The sequence below is a fragment of the Homo sapiens genome, chromosome 15 (assembly GCF_000001405.40).
Source record: "Homo sapiens chromosome 15, GRCh38.p14 Primary Assembly".
In the NCBI taxonomy this organism is placed as follows: domain Eukaryota; kingdom Metazoa; phylum Chordata; class Mammalia; order Primates; family Hominidae; genus Homo; species Homo sapiens.
In genome coordinates, this window is record NC_000015.10 from 101,652,535 (window position 1) to 101,673,050 (window position 20,516).

Genomic DNA, 20,516 nt, shown 5'->3' on the forward strand with positions numbered 1-20,516 from the left:
GATGCGAGCCTGGGAGGTTGTTCCATTTCCACGCGCCCCTCACGCCCTTGGACGAGGCCCTCACCCCTGGTTCCACTGCAGGAGACCTGTTAAAGGTCATCCGTGGACCGAAATGCGCGCCCGAAGCAACCAAGAGCAGAGGCGGGCGAACGCGGGAGGCTGGCCGCCCCAGTGTGTGGTCGGATGTTGTGTGCTGGATCTCGTGCGAAGGTTCCGAGGACACTATCGCGTGGCGTTTCATCCTAAAGACACTTATTTACAGTCGGGGAAGCGGCCCCGGGACGACGAGGGCCCGAGGGACCCCTCCCCTGGGGCCGGCGCTCAGGCCTGCCGCGGCTTTCACTTCTGGCCGGCCTCTTGAAGATACGCAGCACTTCCAGAAAGTTCCTCTCAGGCCTGGAGAAGCAGGATGGCCCGAGGCGCTGGGAAGTGAGGGGAGGGTCCAGAGCCCAGCCCTGCCTGGGGAAGGTCGCGGCCGTCTGGGGAGCCGCGCTCAGGCCCCAGCTTGCGGAGACCCTTGCCGGTTTCTGTCACAGCACACCTGGGAGAAAGCGCTGGTGACAGGTGCTCTCCTCCCACCCACGTGCTTCGGGATCGTTCATTCCGCGGTCTTCTGACTACCACCCCCTCACGTGCATGTTTGCTGAATGACTTTTTAAAAAATACATGGAAAAGTGCCGGCACATAAGCCCTGAATGTTAGCTTTAAAAATCGTATCACGGCCGGGGGCGGTGAATCACGTCTGTAATCCCAGCACTTTGGGAGGCCCAGGCGGGCGGATCACGAGGTTAGGAAATCGAAACCATCCTGGCTAACAACACGGTGAAACCCTGTCTCTACTAAAAATACAAAAAAATTAGCCAGGCGTGGAGGCACGCGCCTGTGGTCCCAGCTACTGGGGAAGCTGAGGCAGGAGAATCGCCTAAACCCGGGAAGCGGAGGTTGTAGTGAGCCGAGATCGCGCCACTGCACTCCAGCCTGGGTGACAGAGCGAGACTCCGTCTCAAAAAATAAATAATAAAAATCATATCACACAATCTGCACCTTATACTACTACACAAGCCTGATATATATTGTTTTGTTTGCCAACTGTTTCACTGTTCACATCCCTCAGGAAGTTAACTAAATGATCAGTATATTGAAAAGAGATTATTTCTTACATTTCTTTTGAATTTCACAGCATATCGCAAAATAAACAATACTTCTTGTTTGGTAGCTGAATTCTCTATTGACATAATGCCATTTTAATTCAGTTCTGAGCACGTAGAGCATTCCTCTCTTTAAAATCTGAAATCCATTTCAGTACATAAATCCATGGAATGTCATCCCATCAAAAAAGTAACAACTCTAGGTGAGCGGCTTAGTGGTGGTAGAAGCCCACAGCTGAAACGCTGGAAACACTGATGCAATTCATTTGGGAATTTATTTTTTTCTAAAGCGGAACAAAACCTAATTATGAATAAGAAACATTTAAATGGCAACTCTTAACCTATAGTGCAAACACCAGATTCCACAAAACTGAATTCCTTTGTCAGTAATCCAATATTTAGCAGTAGCTGCTGCTTTTGTGGTTGTTGGTTAGTTAAAATTAAGTAATGATTCCAGTTTAGAAGATAAAGTTTCAGTGTGAATTTTAGTAGAAGTCATAAAAATACCTGAGACATATTAGAAAATAAGATTTTCCCTCCTATTTAAAAAAAACTCTGCAGACTTTTATTTGAAGCCCATCTTTTGAAAATCACTAACATTTCATAATCATTTCCTAGTGTTTTGTTTCACTTTCTCGATGAATAATATTTCCCCATTTAAGTTTCTCAAGGCATTGATTGCTGGAAAATTTCCCACGTGCCCTCTAAACGTCCCCCGTGGACATGAGTAAATTAAACTTCGTGCATGTCAGCTACACGTTCATCGTCTCCTTTCTCAGCTGAGGCCATGAGTGGACCCATCAGTGGCTCCAAAGTCGTAGAAGTACTAACATGTTAAGAAAAATACATTTTTAAGGGTCAAAACAAAGTTACACAGAAGCAAATATCAGGGAAGGACTTCAAAAGGCCTCCTCAGCATTGAGTGTCCGTGTCTTCCTGAGATTCTTCAGTTTATCAATGGCAGAAGTTACTAAAATCTCTCCATGAATTTTGTTGTCTCTTGTTCGCACGTTTACAGCATTATCTATCTTTTCCTTTTCTCCAACCACTGCAGAAAAGAAAGGTAAAGAAATGTATTTTAAATCAGCAATTTACCAAACATTAAGTCAGCAGTCCCATGACATGTTTTTATCAAGTTTTTCTTCACTAATATTAAATATCATCTAATGAGCATTTGGTTCATCCTCTGATAGTTAAGTTTCTTGAGGGAAGCAATGACTTCTGATCCCATCTCTCTATTGTCCACCTGAGAGAACAGCTCTTGTGGTCCTGGGGTGCAGATGAGAGGGGGGAGCTCTTACAGACTCACACTGACTGCACCTGGCACTAGGGCGCAAATGAGAGCGGGGAGCTCTTACAGGCTCACAGTGACCCCACCTGGCACTAGGGCGCAAATGAGAGCGGGGAGCTCTTACAGGCTCACACTGACCCCACCTGGCACTAGGGTGCAAATGAGAGCGGGGAGCTCTTACAGGCTCACACTGACTCCACCTGGCACTAGGGCGCAAATGAGAGCGGGGAGCTCTTACAGGCTCACACTGACCCCACCTGGCACTAGGGTGCAAATGAGAGGGGGGAGCTCTTACAGGCTCACAGTGACTCCACCTGGCACTAGGGCGCAGATGAGAGGGGGGAGCTCTTACAGGCTCACACTGACCCCACCTGGCACTAGGGTGCAAATGAGAGGGGGGAGCTCTTACAGGCTCACAGTGACTCCACCTGGCACTAGGGCGCAAATGAGAGCGGGGAGCTCTTACAGGCTCACAGTGACTCCACCTGGCACTAGGGCGCAAATGAGAGCGGGGAGCTCTTACAGGCTCACACTGACCCCACCTGGCACTAGGGCGCAAATGAGAGCGGGGAGCTCTTACAGACTCACAGTGACTCCACCTGGCACTAGGGCGCAAATGAGAGCGGGGAGCTCTTACAGGCTCACAGTGACTCCACCTGGCACTAGGGCGCAAATGAGAGCGGGGAGCTCTTACAGACTCACAGTGACTCCACCTGGCACTAGGGTGCAAATGAGAGCGGGGAGCTCTTACAGGCTCACACTGACCCCACCTGGCACTAGGGTGCAGATGAGAGTGGGGAGCTCTTACAGGCTCACACTGACCCCACCTGGCACTAGGGTGCAGATGAGAGCGGGGAGCTCTTACAGGCTCACGCTGACTCCACCTGGCATACCTGATGAGCCAAGGAGTGGACACCAGACCCATGCGAGCCAGCCAGAACTTTCTGGAATGTGGGTAAAAAGTTTGTTCTCTCTAGTGACCCATATTGTGAGATGATGCAGGAATCTACAGCCATGCTTCTTGCCACACAGAAGGAAGAAACCGGTCTGCAGATAAGTGGAATAAGGTAGATATTCAAGAGAAGCATAAAGAACCAGAGCAAGACAGGAACGAGAAATGGGGAGAAATACTCCTGGTGAGGGTTGAGCTCCTGATTGCTCTTCTAGTGGTTTGGCTATTTAATTCTACCTTTCATGTCATGGGATACTCCAAGACCCTTCCAACAAATGCTGTCTTTGTCTAAACCAAGTTGAGATTTCTGCCACCATAAGAAGCCTGACTGAAACAGCACAATACCTACTCTGGTGTCAAACATTATCATTGAAACACTGTCAATAGAACAATGCTATGCATATTTATTTCGCCTTCTACAGACTCTCAACTTACAAGAAATAGCAATACTGTGCCTGCAGTTATATCAGTGTTAGTTTCTCTTAATTTTGGAATCATTTTTAAAGCCTAAATTTTAGATTCTGCATCTAATTAGTCATATGCTAAAAGGACATTTTACTTTTCATCTAAATCTTTTCCTTTAGATCATTTTAAATTTGGGATCTTTTCTTTCTGTTAGTTTAATCCCAAAGTTTCCTAATAAGCCAGAAAAGTGAGGGAAAATATTACAGGCCTGTGAGGCTGAAATATAAAGTATATAATTCTACTGATGGGATCATTTTCAGAGTTGTTTTCGTTGTTTGCTTGCAATATGAACTATTGCTAGTAAAACTATCCCAGGGGATTCAGGTGAAACTTTACAACTCTTCTTCCAGCAAACAACAAAGAGTACCTAGGAACAGCTAAGCTAGGAATGCTATGGACTCTTCCTTTTGTGTAAGTATTAAATAGACAAATCATGATAATCAAGTAGTTGAACCATATTTCTTATTTGGTCTTTTGGAATTGAAGTGGGAAAAAAAAGCATTTGGAAAAATATATACAAACTTAAATTACCCAAAATAAAATTATACTGAGCCAGCTGTGCATTTCGTATTTTCTTATTTAGTGTACAACTGTGATCCAAGTCAACGTCAGCCATAAATCCTTCTTCAAAAAATTCACTGGATACCTAGAAGAAAATGAAACACCTTTACTGTTACATTATGGTACCTAGCCTCCAAGAAGACCCCGTTGTTCCCCACTCTTGGTATTCACACCTTTGTATAGTTCCCTGCTCACTATACCAGAGCGGGTCTGCGTGACCATAAAGAAGTGCGGAAGTGTCGGCGCATCGTTTCTGAGACTAGTTTATAAAAGGCTGCAGCTCCCATCTCTCTCAGATCACTTGCTCTGGGGGAAACCAGCCACCATGCAGTGAGGACATTCAGGCAAGCAAGCACCCAGGTGATGAGGAGCTGCATCCACCAACTGTGAGCGAGCCCCGAGCTCCGCAGCCCTGGCTGACAGCCTGACTGCAGCCCCAGGAGACGCTCTGCGCCAGAATCCACCAGCTGAGCTGCTCCCAGACCCTGACTCGTAGGAACTGTGAGATCATCAATGTTTGTTGTTTAAAGCTGCTAAGTTTTGGGGTCACTTGTGACACAGCAACAGATAATATTCTTCCCTAATAGAGCTGTGTAGAAATGAATAATTATGATATGTTTTAAAATACTAATTTCTCAAAAAACATTAAGAATGAAATAGTTCTGAGACAGCTGCAGAGACATGATTCGTGTGTTACTCCCACCTGCTGAAAACACGGTTTAAGCTAATGTGTCAGTTCTGCAATATTTTAAAGCATGAAGGACACTCCAAATCGATGACCTACACAGAATACATGCAAGATTATTATGTACTTTAAACACCTCTGATTTTACCTGAAGTGCATATTTTTCACAAGTTGGCCCCACAGGGATGACCATCACCTGACGAGGAGATAGCCAGAAAGGCCTGAAAAATATATATAAAATATGTATTTTCAAAGTGTAATAATGGCTACTTATTACATGATTTTCAAATAACCAAAGATTCTTTTAAAGACTTCACAAGAGGGCAGTTTCAGTAGCGCAGCATGGAAGAAAACTAAATTATATTAAAGTTTGAAGGCAGCAAAGTAAATGAAAGGAGAATTTTGGAATTTTGATAGCACAAGTGCAGGTAGAATGAGCTGGCAGACAGCCCAAAGGGCTGAGCATGCACTTACTGTCTGCCCCAGCAATTGCACTCCTGGCATTTGTCCCAGAGAAATGAAAGCGCAGGTTCACACACAATACTGCTCACTAACGTCCATAGCAGCTTTATTTATAATAGCCCCAAACAGGAAACACACACCCCAAATGTCCTTTAGCGGGTGAATGGCCAAACTGTGGTGCATCCACACTGTGGAACGTGGAACACCATCAGCAAAAAAAAAAAAAAAAAAAAGGAACCAACTAATTTATCTCGAAACAAAACAACATGGATGGCTCTTAAGGGAATTCCACTGAGTGAAAAAAAAAAAGCCTACTTCAAAAGTTTGTGTACTCTGTAAATCCATTTATGTAATATTCTTTATATGACAAAATGATGGAGCTAGAGAACAAGTTCATGGCTGTCAGATAGGAGGACAGGGTGGGATGGTTTGAGTGTGGGGAAAAAAGGGCAGCAGGAGGGAGCCTTACAAGTGATGGACTGTCCTGTGCCTTGACTGGTGGCCTTACACCATCTGTCCGTGTGACACAGCTAAATACACGTTCACACAAATGAGTGCATGTGAGGCTGGTGAAATCGGAACAAGGTTGGTGGACAGTCTCAATGTCTAGTTCTTGGCTGTGATATTGTATCTAGTTTTGCAAGATGTTACCATTGAGGAAAACTGGGTAAAGAGTGTGCTGGACTTCTCTGTATAACTTCTTTTTTATTTTTTTTGAGATGGAATCTTGCTCACCCAGGCTAGAGTGCAGTGGCGTGATCTCGGCTCACTGCAACCTCTGCCTCCCGAGTTCAAGTGATTCTCCTAGCTCAGCCTCCTGAGTAGCTGGGATTACAGCCATTGCCACCACACCCAGCTAATTTTTGTATTTTCAGTAGAGACGGGGTTTCACCATGTTGGCCAGACTGGTCTTGAACTCCTGACCTCAGGTGATCCACCCACCTCGGCCTCCCAAAGGTTGGGATTACAGGCGTGAGCCACCACATCCGGCCTCTATATAACTTCTTAGAACAACATGCGAACCTACAATTATTTCAAAATATAATTTTTCTAGAATAAAAAAGATGGCAGGGTAGGTATAAACAGTGTCCGCTGTGGGACATGTTTGCCCTTTCCCTGTCATAGTGAGTATTTAGTCTGAAGGTGAAAGGACATGCAAGGAGGACTATTTCAGATAGCATTTTATAAATGTGCATATTTATATATTTATTCTCAAATTACAAACACAAAACAATACATGATAAATGGTAGAACACAGAAATACAGGGTATATAATGGCAACTACATATTTCCTTTTGAGCTCTGTCCTTATCCCATCCCCAGCCCTACTCCTCTCAAGGACCCACACTTTAGCCATCTTTACTTTTGGCTCCTGGGGAGATTTCCCCACAAGGCTGACTGCTGTCTGAAGTCTGGATGTATGAAGTGCAGGGAGTATACTTCCGTCTCTGCGACAAAGGAAGGCATGCTCAGTGCACTGGCCCCAACCACCTCCTGTCTCCCTCTCCATCTCCTATTTCACTAGTTCTCTCTCTTTTCTTTAAACCACTTTCACTGCAACCATTCTAATGCAAAACACCATCATCTCTTACCTATGGTAAACTATTTAAAACCAACTGGAAAGAAATATAAACATGTTAACTCATACTCAGGCGGCATACATATTCATACCCATACTTTTGGCTTAACTGTAACTTCAACAGCTTAGAAACTCCATGATACCTAAGTATATTTCTCTATGATCACAAAATATCAGGAATATACACAGACTCTCTAGCTACCCAGGTCTTTTGGAAGACACTTTGTTTGGGAAACTTTCCACCTTATGTTTCCTGCTCAAAAATTTGCTTCCCCAGTCTCGCTGGACATGAATGGTAGTATGCATGGGTGTGATCTAGGTTCTGCTAATGTATAAACATGGCACTCTGACTTAAGACAGAGTGGAGAAGGAGGCACCACATGGAATCCATTATGGCAAGGAAAGGTGATGCAGAGACATGGAGCTTTTGGAGGAACTGGTTGCAGTGACCCTAGCAGTATCATCCGGTGCCCAGTGTCCACAGTGGGAGCTGCAGGGACTGTGCCCGGCAATAGTAGCAGTGGGGGCAGTAGTTTCTGAAGAGAGAGCTAAACTGCATGAGCAGATGCTTAGCCAATTTCTAAAAATGGAATGGGAGGTAGAAATTTCACAGGTGGTTGCTGGTTTGCAGCATTTCCACATACTAGGATACATCATCACAAGATGTTGTCTGCCAGCTGGTGCTATAACTGCTAGTAAAGCCACTTGCTTCTGAATGCATGGTGATAGTAGTGAATCCCTTAATGTCAGTGCAATGCTTTACTTATTTGCTATAAAATCTCTTTCATAGTCAGAAGCACTGTTGTGTTCCTGGCAGCACCTAAGTACATATTTGGTGCCACTGGCAGAAGCATGGCAGCAAAGAAGAGCAAAGCAAAATCCACAGTGAGTCTCTCTTCAGTGAGAATGAGGCATTGCTCCTTACATGATGAAAGGGATCCAACGTAATCAACCTGCTACAAGACCACTGGCTATTACCCCAGGTTATGGTACCATCCCGGGGGATCACAATTAATCACTGACTGATGGCAACCTGAATTCTCAGAAGAGATGTAGCCAGATGGAACTTAGTGAGGCAAAGTCCATGTCTTTGAGCCCATGCCTATCCACCAGTGGCCACTTTGCCCATGAGCCATTGAGCAACAACTAGGGGAAAAAGCAGCTGATTTTAACAGAATGGGTCCTCTTGTATTGGAATACTGAAAAATTCCTCAACAGCGGGGGCCTTTTGGTGGCAATACCACCTCTGTTGGCCCATTCTGAGTGATCATCCACATTTCTGCTTCCCAAATCTATGTAATTTGTTTTTCAATCTAATTAGTTCTAAATCTTTGACTCTGTGGCCAAAGCAGTAACTAGAGCCTGTGCATCCATGTAACTCCTTATCTCCGGCCATTCTTCCTTCCGGGCAAAAAGGACCACAGGATGCACCACTCAAAAAGGACCACAAGATGCACCACTCAAAAAAGACCACAAGATGCACCACTCAAAATTCTGCACTTTAGGACACTTCCCTTCCCCACTGTCATCCTAAATGGGCTGTGCTGCTGAGCCATCCTCTTTGAGTTTGTGCCATTTATGAATCAGGTTTACATGTTTTCCTCCTCAGTGGCTGTAGGGAACCCCAAAGGCAAACAATATGGGTTGAAGGAAGGATGGCTGGAGGGCAAGAGGTGGTACCTAGGAGTGTGGGTCACATGTTTTCAGGACAGCAACTAGATCTCTGAAGGGCTTGAAACAGGTAAAAAGATAACTTTAATTCTACCGAGTCCCCCAAAAGGTAAATGGTACAGTTTTATGCCACTCTCCCTTAGTTTTTATTTTCTGATCTGGCAAATCGAATAAGAATTCTTTATTTGCTGTTTGGACAATTGCTAATTACAAGGCAGGAAAGGCCCTTTCTTTTGTTACTACTTTTTTCTTTTACACATGATTTTTTAAGAATAGAAATATTTTTAAAAAGGAAAAATGAGTAAATTAATAAAAATTAAAAAGAATAATAGACATATAGTTTTTCTTTTCCATATCACTTACCATTTTCCGCCATAGTTTTCTGAAAGAATGGCTATCATTCTTTCCACTGATCCCAAAATGGCTCGATGAATGATCACAGGTCTCTTCTTATCATCCCCATCCTTACTAAAAAATGAAAATTATACATTTAAGTCTTTTCCTAAGATTCAATAACTATCTTCTAGCCTTATATTTAATTTTGAGAATAGATTTAGATTAGTGATATCAGATCTCTCCATTAACCTTATTTGTTCTGTGACTGTCTTGTTTTCTCATTGCTTTCTTTGCTAATCTTTTTTCTTTTATTTTAAAAACTTTTTATTAGAGCGCACTGAAACATATACAAAAGTAGAGAGAAGAGTATAATGAACTTCCACATACCCTCTCTCAGCTTCACAAAATGTCAACTCACAGCCAATCTCATCTGATCCAAATGCACCCCCATTCTTGCCACTATCTCCCACATTATAATCTTCATTTTTAAAATGTTCCTGATATGTGTTCTTGAAGTCCACTGGTCAAATTCCCTGAAACCCTCATGAGGTGTATCTTACATTTAATTATTCCCTCTTCCCCTTAGGAAAAAAAAATGAAAAAAGCAAATGATGACTTAATTGTAATGAAGTAAGCCACTTCAAGATCTCTGCACAAGCACAAGCTTCTCAGAAAGATAAATTTCACATTATTGCAACAAATGTGACATGCGACACTTACAAAGTTCTTTTGATAAATTTTTATCTAAAAATTATACCAGCTAGCTACTACTACAATAAATGAAACAAATTTAACAAATAAATAATAAAATAAAACAAACAAAAACAGAGAAACCCATTCATTAAACCTACTTCAAATGAGTTGTAACTGGATATCATCACTGCCAACCATTTCTGCTAAGAGCCATTATAGAATAACTGCAGGCAAAACTCTCTGTCTGGACCCTACAGGAAGCTTTGGGGTAGGGGTGAGCGGCTTGAGTCCATTCCTATGCAGGTATATGAAGAAATTCATCCCAAAAATTGAAACCAGTATGAAATATTCCTGAATATCCCATCATGTTGATTTTGTGTAGGGAAGAAAGAGAAGCAAACTGATCCTTTCACAGAGCCTGGGTATCCAAAATTTCTGTCCCATCATTTCTTTGAATCATGTCTAGACTTAAGAAGAGCAAATAGTGACATAAACTATGATTACACATCTGTGCTATCAGATAAACATTGGAATGAATGCCAAATTCCCCCAAAATAACCCCAGTGGATTTGCTTACAATTATATTAGATTAATAGATAAATTTGAAGAGAATAACTTCACAATGTTGATTCTTCTCATTCCAAAGTGTGGTACGAATCTTCATTTAAATAACTCTTTTTTGTGGTCTTGGAGAAAAACTTATAGCGTATGCTTATAAATAACATCTATAGTCATGTGTTGCCTAATGACATTTTGGTCAACAATGGACTGCAGATATGATGGTGGTCCCACGAGATTATAAAGAAGCTGAAAAAAATTTTTTTTTAAATTATACTTTAAGTTCTAGGGTACATGTGCACAATGTGCAGGTTTGTTACATATGTATACATGAGCCACGCTGGTGTCCTGCACCCAAGGAAGCTGAAAAATTCCTATCATCTAGTGATCTGTGTTACAAGTACCTAGAGCATTCAGTACAGTAACATTCTGCACAGGTTTGGAGCTAGCAGCAATAGGCTATCCCATACAGCTTAAGTGTGTAGTGGCCTATGCCATCTAGGTTTGTGTAAGTACACTCCGTGATGTTCACACAACAATGATATTGCCTAACGACACATTTCTCCAAACATATCCCTGTCATGACTACATTTATGGGGATGCATGACTATATTTATATTTATTAAGTTTATTCATATTTTCTATTTTGTGGTTGCTGTTGCTTCTGAAATGTTTTTTCCATTGCATTTCCTAGCAGATTATTGCTAACATTATGAAGGCAAATTGATTTTTGCATTTTTACCTTCCATTATTATTAGTGCCCATTTCTCCATTTGATTCTGTTGGATTTCTCTATATTTTAACATCTACTAATAATAATTTTATCTCTTGCTTTCATGTATTTGTAATCCCAGAATAATTTTGAGTAACAATACAAATAGTAGTCATATTCGTCTTCTTCCCAACTGTGTTGAGATGCTATTGCTGTTTTCTGATAAAAGCTCTTTATCGTGATAAGGAAATTTCTGTTCATTTCACAGGAATGAATGTTAACTTTTATCTGATGCCTTTCTGCATGCTGAATGTAATGAATGACAACAGCACACTCTCATCCACCCCTGCTTTTTTAGGGAAAAACCCTTACTCAATCATGGTGATGACCTTGATGCTTCTCTCTCTCCTCTCATACATAAGCCTGAGCAAATCACATCAGTTCTTCCTCCAAAATACACTTCCAGTACCCCTACTTTGTTCATCTCTATGCCACCTGGCTCCAACTGTCATCATTTCTTACCTGGTCTGCAATCCACTGCTTCCACCTTTGCTTGCCTACTCGCCATTTGCCACACAACACCTATGATGGCTGGCTGGGCTGATTTGTTTCTCCTCCACGTCCTCCTTAAATGAGTAGTTTCACTTGCATTCTGATGGCCCTAAGCAATTTTGTTGTAGGACTGATCCTGAAGGTTTGACTTTCTCTCTAATAGTTCTGACCCTTGCTCCTCCAAAACGGAGAGATTAGACTTTTCGGAGTCCTACTAACTCCACTGTACCAATCAGGCAAAAAGTTAGAGGTCAACTCCCAGAAGCTTTTCCGTTTTGGCACACGGTATGACCTATGGGACTTGGCCACTGGGTGGCGAACACATGGAACAGATGTGAATATCACTATAAAGGCTTCGATAACTGAACTGACACCGAACCGCAGCCCACAAAAGTGGGCTGGAAATTTCCACCTGAACCTAACCAGGCAGATTCACTGCCAAAACAAGACAACCGCCTTAGGATTTAAACAAGACACAGCATCTCATAACATAATATTCAAGACATTCAGGATATAATCCTAAATTACTTAGCATATGAATCATTAGGAAAATTTTCAATTTGTGAGAAGAAAAGACAAACAACAGTCCAGCAGCAAGAAAACACAAATGATGGAATTACCAAAGGCTAGAAATAGCCATTATAACTGTACCCCAGGAAGCAGGGTAAACACACCTGGAGTGACTGGAAAGACCAAAGTCTCAGGAAGAAACACAAAACACGAACAACAGAGATTGTAGAACTGAAAACTACAATCACAGAAAGTTTTAAAAAGTCATTCGATGGATTCAGTAGCAACAGAGATGGTAAAGAGTTGGTGAATTTGAAGATAAGTAAATAGAATGTATCCAATCTGAGAGATATACAAAGAAAGACTGAAGGAAGCATAAACAGCCTCAGAAAACTGGAAAAATACCAAAAGGTCTAATATTCAGGTCACCTGCGTCCCAGAAGGAGCGGAGGTATAGTACCAAAGAAATATGGAAAAACAATACAACGTTTGCAAACCAATAACTTACAGATTCAGGAAGTTCAAACCGCCACAACATAGACTTGAATAAGTCCACAGACAGACACATCACAATCGTGTGACACATAAAGGAAAAGTGACTGCAATTACTGCATATTTCTCATCAGAAACCATAAAAGCCAGCAGCATGTGTAACAATATTTTTTGTTTTTACTTTGCAAGAAAATAAATTATATAACTTAAAAAATAAAACCCCCAAACTAAGCAGTTCATCAAAATATTTCAGCCTACAGCCTACAGAAACTGCTACCATTTAAAATTGTACAGCGTTATCATCTCAGCGTGTAGTGGCACACGTGCAAATAGCATAGACCACATGAGGACAGATTACAACTTAGGAACTCAAATTTGTTCAACACTCTAAACAACATACAGTGTAGATGACAGGAAAGCTCTCATGTAATGTTTATTTTACAAACATGACCTTGGAAGAATTAATAAGATGGCATCTCAGTTATTTACATAAAAATAGAAAAATCAGCTTGAGTTTAAGACGGCAAATCTTTCTATAAAACTAGCCAATCTTTCACCCAGATTGAAGTTTTAAAATTTGCTCTTTGAAAGGGCTAATGACATCTTACTGCAAATAATGTAAAATATTTTTTAACTACTCAGGTCATATTTTGTATTAAATTTAATACAAAGTAAAAGTAAGAAAGCTAAGTTTTTACTTTGGGAAGCGTTAACATTTATGCACAAGATGAGAACAAGACTTGAAAAAACAAGTTGATAGAACTCGGGAGCCCCTCCAATAAATGCAAACATTGGAAGACTTCAGAATTCATTTCGAGATCCTCACTGAATCATTGGAGCAGTAATGTTCTAATATTTACCTCACTGTAAGCATCAAAATTGTTCTGTATTTTCCCTTCATAAATTTTATTTCATGTCTACTTACTCTGGAAATGAGATGCAACAAAGGTTAACACAAAAATGGATGTCTCTGTTTTTAAATTAGAAGATGAGTGTTCTAGGTCAGGATCGGTGGCTCACGCCTGTAATCTCAGCACTTTGGGAGGCTGAGGTGGGCGGAGGTAAGGAGTTCGAGACCAGCCTGGCCAACATGGTGAAACCCTGTCTCCACTAAAAATACAAAGTTTAGCCAGGCATGGTGGTGCATGCCTATAGTCCCAGTTACTCAGGAGGCTGAGGCAGAAGAATTGCTTGAACCCAGGAGGCGGAGGTTTCAGTGAGCCAAGATTGTCCCACTGCACTCCAGCCTGGGCAACAGAGCAAGACTCATCTCAAAAAAAAAAAAAAAAAAAAAAAGATGAGTGTTCAAAGTTTGCATTAACCTCAGAAGCGTCCTCTTGCTATACTACTAAGTTAATATATATTTTTAAACAATATTTTTAAAATATTAAAACTAAATAACTATCAACCCAGAATTGTACAAGCAAAGAAGGTTATTTTCTTTGAAAGTACAACAAAATAAAGACATTCTCAGATGAAAGAAAATAAGGCAATTCATCTTCAACCGACCTGCTTTAAATAAACTGTTTATTCTCTTATATCTTCAGATATATGAGAAATGATACTAGAGGGAACCCTGGAACATCAGGAATGAAACAAGATCAACAGAAATGGTAAATATTTGGTAAATATAATATAATGTTCTCCTCCTAAGCTCTTTAAAACATGTACTATGATTGAAAACAAAAATAATATTGCTTATGAGGTTGTTAATGTATATGGCATGTAGTGTGTAGTATGCCTTCCAAAATGAATTTTTAAATAACAAGACTTGAAAGTCAAAATTGTGCCTTGATCCATGGGCTGCAGAATGGATGTTGTGTTAATAGGCATGAGAAAACATTAATCTCCTTGTACGTCTCCATCAGAGCTCTTGGATGACCAGGTGCATTGTCAATGAGCAGTAATCTTTTGAAATGAATCTTTTTTTTTTTCCTGAGCAGTAGGTCTCAACAGTGGGCTTAAAATATTCAGTAAATCATGCTGTAAACAGACGTGCTGTCATCTAGGCTTTGTTGTTGCATTTCTAGAACACAGGCAGAGTAAATTTAGCATTATTCGTAAGGGTTCTAAGATTTTCTGAATGGTAAATGAGCACTGGCTTCAACTTAAAGTCACCAGCTGCATTAGCTCCTAATAAGAGGGTGAGCCTCTCTTTTGAAGTTTTGAAGCCAGTCATTGACTTTTCCTTTCTAGCTATGAAAGTCCTAGAGGGCATCTTCTTCTAATAGAAGGCTGCTTCATATATATTGAAAATCTGTTGTTTAGTGTTGTCATCTTCATCATTGATCTTAGCTAGATCTTCTGGATAACTTGCTGAAGCTTGTACGTCAGCACTTGTTGCTTTACCTTGCACTTTTATATTATGGAGATGGCTTTTTTTTTTGAGATGGAGTTTCACTCTTGTTGTCCAGGCTGGAGTGCAGTGGCGTGGTCTTGGCTCCCTGCAACTTCTGCCTTCTGGATTCACATGATTCTCCTGCCTCAGCCTCCCAAGTAGCTGGGATTACAGGCACCCACCACCACGCCCAGCTAATTTTTTTATTTTTATTTTTGTATTTTTAGTAGAGACGGGGTTTCACCAACCATATGGAGTTGGCCAGGCTGGTCTTGAACTCCTGACCTCAGGTGATCCACCTGCCTCTGCCTCCCAAAGTGCTGGGATTACAGGCATGAGCCACTGCACCTGGCCCTGGAGATGGTTCTTTTAACTTCATGAACCAACCTCTTGCTAGTTTCAAACTTTGCTTCTGCAGCTTCTTCACCTCTCTCAGTCTTCACAGAATTGAAAAGTTAGGGCTTTGCTCTGGATTAGTCTTTGGCTTCAGGGAAACTTTCTCCACATCAGCAAGAAGGCTGTTTCACTTCCTTATCATTTGTGTTCACTGGAGTAGCACTTTTAATGTCCTTCAAGAGCTTTTCCTTTGCATTCACAACTTGGGTAACTGGTGCAAGAGGCCGAGCTTTTGGCCTATCTGGGCTTTCAACAGTCCTTCCTCACCAAGCTTAATCATTTCTAGCTTTTGATCTAAGGTGAGAGACTTATGACTCTTCTTTAAACATGAATATTTACAGGCTGTTGTAGGGTTATTAATTAGCCTAATTTCAATGTTATTGTGTCTCAGGGAATAGGGAAGGCTGAGGAGAGGGAGAGAGATTAGGGAGGGGCCGGTGGAGTGGTCACAACAGACGACATTTATCGGTAAAGTTCATCGTTTTAAATGGGTATAGTTCATGGTGCCCCCTAAAATTATAAGAGTAATATCAAATATCACTAATCACCATAACAGATAGAATAATAATGAAAAAGCTTGAAATACTGCAAGAATTACCTAAGTGTGACACAAAGACATGAAGTAAGCCCATGCTGTTGGAAAAATGGCACTGACAGACTTGCTTGACACAGGGCTGCCACAAACCTTCAGTTTATAAAAAATGCAACGTCTGCGAAGTGCTATACAGTGTGAAGCATGATAAAACAAGCTGTGCCTGTATATATATATACCGTCATGCACTGCGTAACAGTGTTCTGGCCAACAACAGAGCACATACATGACAGTGGTCCAGTAAGATTATAATGGAGCTAAAAATCTTCCCATTATTCAGGTGTTTGTGGTGAGGCTGGTGTAAATAAATCTACCATGCTGCCAGCTGTATAAAAGGACAGTGCATACAATTATGTACTGTACATCATACTTGATAATGATAATAAACAACTGTTACTGGTTTATGTATTTACTACACTATACTTTTAATTGTTATTTAAGGTGTATTCTTTCACTTACTTTAAAAAAAAAAGTTAGCTGTAAAACAGCCTGGGGCTGGTCTTTCAGGAGGTATTCCAGAAGAAGGCACTATTATCATGGGTGATGACAGCTCCATGCGTGTACTGCCCCTGGAACCTTCCACTGGGACAAGATATGGAGGTGGAAGACAGTGATATCGATAACCTTGGCCTTGTGTAGGCCTAGGCTACTAGGCTGATGAATGTGTTTGTGTCTTAGTTTTTAACAAAAAAACTTAAAAAGTAAAAATTTTTGAAGTTTTTAATAGAAAAATGTTTATAGAATAAAGAGATAAAGAAAATATTTTTGTACAACTATAATGTATTTGTGTTTTAAGGTAAGTGCTATAATAAAAGATTCAAAAGTTTTAAAATGTCAAAAATGTATAAAGTAAAAAAGTTACAGTAAGCTAAGCTTAATTAACTATTGAAGAAAAAAATTATTTAAATTTAGTGTAGCCTAAATGTACAGTGTTTATAATGTCTACAGTAGTATACACTAATGTCCTCGGCCTTCACATATACTTACAACTTACTGACTCGCCTGGAGCAGCTTCCGGTTATGCAAGCTCCATTCATGGTAACTGTCCTAAACAACTGTACCATTTTTTATCTTTTATACCTAATTTTACTGTACCTTTTCTATGTTGAGATATGTTTTGATACACAAATACCTTACCACTGTGTTACAGTTGCCTACAGTATTCAGTAGAGTAACATGCTTTACAGGTCTGTAGCCTAGAAGCAATAGTCTAGACCATATTAGCCTAGGTATGTAGTAGGCTCTACCACCCAGGTTTGCGTAAGCACACTCGGTGATGTTCACACAGTGAACAAAGGGATAATCAGTGGTCCCATAGAACAGAATTTATAATCTAGAAACAGACCCACATATATATGTCCAACTAATTTCTGACAAAGATCCAAAGGCAAGTCGATGGTGAAATAGTGGCCTGTTCTTACATCATCTGATGTGTGAATAATGAGACACTTAGATGCAAACAATGAATCTTGACCCAAATGTCACATCTTACACAAACAATGAACTCACATCAGATCTTAGAACTAGAAAACTTTTAATATAAAACATAGAAGAAAATCTTCATGGCCTGTACTTAGGCAGAGCTTATAGATATGATGCCAAAGCATGATCCATAAAAGAAAAAAATGGAGAAATTAAACTTTATTGTATTTAATAACTCAGGATGAATGGGAAAGTAAAGATATTACAAAAAATGAAAAAGCAAGCTACAGACCAGGGTAAAATATGTGCAAATCATATATTCCTCCAAGGGCTAGTATCTAGAATATATAAAGAATTCTCAAAACTCAACAGTAAGGAAACAAATCACTCAATTAAAAATGAGCAAAAAGACTTTGGCAGACTTTTAACCAAAGAGGATAAATGAATAGCAAGTAAGCACATGAAAAGATGTTAACATCATTAGCCACTAAAAAACATGTAAAATCAAAAGATAATGAAATACTACTACACACCTATTAGAACTACTTAACAAACAAAACCTGACAATATCAAGTACTGGCAAGGATGTGGAACATCTGGAACTCTTTACACATTGCAGGTGAGAATGCAAAATGGTGCAGCTGCTCTGGAAAACAGTTTGGCAGTTTCTACAAAGTTAAATATTTAATTATCATATGACCCATTCCCAGTTATTTAACCTAAAGAAAACTTCTATTCACACAAAAACCTATACACTAATATCTACAGCAGTTCTATTCATAATCACCAAGAACTGGAAGCAACCCAAACACCCTTCAATGAGAGATTGGATCCACAATGGCACACTAGTCAGTGACAGAAAGGAACAAACTATCAATACTTGCAGAATCATGGATGAATCTCCACAGCACTGTGCTACGTGAAAGAAGCCAGTCTCAGAAGGCTCGATACTGCATGGCTCCGTTTACATGACATTCTGGAAAGGGCAAGACTATGGTGATGGGGAGCTCATTAACGGCAGCCAGGGGTTAGGAGTAGGAGGAGTGTGTGACTACAAAGGAGCAGCACAAGAGAACAACAGAATCATAACCATCAAGCTGTACACACAACACACACACACACACACAGAGTTAATTTTACTGTATTATTTTTAAAGAAGTTGTTGGTTTACAGTGATAAAATTGCCTTTTTTCCCCTGCTTTTTCAAGAAAACATCTCATCCTTAAGACACAGACCCAATGCCAGCATTTTGTGAAGTCTTCCCCCTGTAACTCAGGGAGAGTCAGCAGCCTGGATCATATTTTCATGGAACTTTGTTCATATCTCTACTCTCATGTTTACTTATCTTCCTCCCGCTACTAGACCAGAAAATTCAAGTTGATTCGCAACTGGATTATGATCAGGTAAACAAATATATATTGCGTGTATAGCACATATACTAGACATTCACTAATGTTTATTTTTGCATTGCTAATACTCAAATGACAAAAAATTAGAATATTAGTACTATAATATTTATCACATTCAATCACTCACCTAACATATGTGAGATTAAATCTAATAGGCAGTTGGAAGTCCAGCTGAATTGTAGCACATTGATGGTATCTGCCAATAGCATCCTTGATTTTTATGTCAATCTACAAATTAAATAATGTTTGCTCAGAAAAGAGTATTTATTTTTCTTTTACATTTTGCTGTTTTGAAGCATGTGGTCGACTCACTTTAGGGCCATAAAATGCTCCATCTCCTGGGTTCATTTTCCACGGTTCTCCAAAGTCCATCAAGCTGTTCTGCAGTTGCTTTTTCAAAAGAAGAAAAAAGATACAATTATACACTGTATCTTTTTTTTTTACATACAGCTCACAAAAGTTACTATAACTCTTCATTACAGTCTATGTTAGTTCAACATATATTTATTGAGCATCTTTTACATTCAATAAACTATTGAGCAGGGACTACACAGAGATGATTAAGGTGGCACCTGCTCTCAAAGAAACATAAACATTTCAACTGGGGAGAAAAGATCATTTATAAATTGTTCCAGTGAATTCCAGGTAAGCATTAGGGAGGGGTCGCTTTTGACCCTCCTCCCAACACAGGCCCCCTGTGCCCTACACATCAACCAGCTTCTGCCTCCTGGTGACGGGCCTCCACACATGAAAAAGCAGAAAAGCCTTGATCACACTCCCTCTTCCACTCTGAGTCTGGGTGGGTAAGAAGGCCAAGAGGGCAGGCCTTACTACTTCCTTTTTGCCTTTCCTTCACCTCTGCACGTGTCTGGGAGGGTCACTTATAATTTATAGGGGTGTGGAGGCATGAGGCTCCACTTTTGTCTTCAGCCTAAGCCACCACATGCCTTCAACTTAGCTTGTAGTGAAGATGTTCCACATTGAAGGTGAGGATGCAAGTGTATTAATGAAAAATTTCCCAGAGTCTTCCAGTATTCCCGTGAATCCAGCTTCCCTGGGAAGCACGTGGGCATTCCTGAGTCCTTGGCCAAAAGTACTGCCAAAACACGAGCCAAACTCCCATCATCACCTCCAACATACGGGTGCCCATGAGGGGGCAGACTTGGGAGTGACGCGCCTCATGGGGAAATCAGAGCCGTGGCAGAGTCTTAGGGCCGAAGCTGCCATCATCAAGAAAGCTGACTCCTGGGAAAGCTGACTCCTGGAGTCCTGGCAGCCTTTCCCAGGACCTCAGTCAGGATCTGATCTTGAGAGAGACGGAGATTTTTTTCCTGGGATCCTGGGAGTGTCCCGCATAGGCCTGATCTTACAGAAGCAGCTTCTTTTCTACTTAGGACCAGAGAAAGCCACCCCACGGAGACACTTCCGGGGCCTGGAGGCTGCGCTCCCCTGTTCCACTCTGTTTCTCAAAGGAGAAGGAACACAGGTACATGTTTCCAGGACAAATGAGGCCCTCCTACAGCAGATACCAAGTGATGGAAAGAATTCTGGGGACTGCAAGAAGCTAAAAAGCCAAGGAAAGGCCAAGTTTTGGAGAAGAGGATAAAGCAGGGGTCACTGCTGCTCCTCGGGCCTTGGAGGACACAGGACAGGAGGGCACAGTAGGAGCTGCCAGAGCCGAGAGAGCATCGG

At 41.0% G+C, this 20,516-nt stretch overlaps 1 protein-coding gene across 4 annotated transcripts in view, besides 4 other annotated features; it reads right to left on the reverse strand.

Moving 5' to 3' along the window:
• Positions 85 to 144: an enhancer, noted in NCBI's record as "active region_10195". NCBI's record gives its function as "activates an Ori minimal core promoter by ATAC-STARR-seq in GM12878 lymphoblastoid cells {active_cell/tissue: GM12878}" and the evidence as "EXISTENCE:reporter gene assay evidence [ECO:0000049][PMID:35858748]".
• Positions 235 to 424: a silencer, noted in NCBI's record as "silent region_6893". NCBI's record gives its function as "represses an Ori minimal core promoter by ATAC-STARR-seq in GM12878 lymphoblastoid cells {active_cell/tissue: GM12878}" and the evidence as "EXISTENCE:reporter gene assay evidence [ECO:0000049][PMID:35858748]".
• Positions 235 to 1,141: a biological region, named in NCBI's record as "H3K27ac-H3K4me1 hESC enhancer GRCh37_chr15:102192988-102193878".
• Positions 251 to 1,141: an enhancer, noted in NCBI's record as "H3K27ac-H3K4me1 hESC enhancer chr15:102192988-102193878 (GRCh37/hg19 assembly coordinates)". NCBI's record gives its function as "activates a minimal SCP1, AML or CMV promoter by ChIP-STARR-seq in primed H9 embryonic stem cells {active_cell/tissue: H9 hESC(primed)}" and the evidence as "EXISTENCE:reporter gene assay evidence [ECO:0000049][PMID:30033119]".
• Positions 1,062 to 20,516, reverse strand: part of TARS3 (threonyl-tRNA synthetase 3) — a 70,878-nt gene continuing 51,423 nt past the window's right edge. For 2 of the 4 annotated variants that reach the window (NM_152334.3, XM_047432142.1), the window contains 6 exons: positions 19,137 to 19,214; positions 18,952 to 19,052; positions 9,178 to 9,282; positions 5,251 to 5,323; positions 4,388 to 4,502; positions 1,062 to 2,196 (listed from right to left, as the gene is read on the reverse strand). In NM_152334.3, the coding sequence (NP_689547.2) occupies positions 2,048 to 2,196; positions 4,388 to 4,502; positions 5,251 to 5,323; positions 9,178 to 9,282; positions 18,952 to 19,052; positions 19,137 to 19,214 (621 nt within the window). In that variant the 3' untranslated portion in view covers positions 1,062 to 2,047. Of the gene's footprint in view, positions 2,197 to 4,387; positions 4,503 to 5,250; positions 5,324 to 9,177; positions 9,283 to 17,619; positions 18,392 to 18,951; positions 19,053 to 19,136; positions 19,215 to 20,516 lie in introns of those variants that run through there. The other 2 variants (XM_047432140.1, XM_017021912.3) reach the window with 2 other exon arrangements.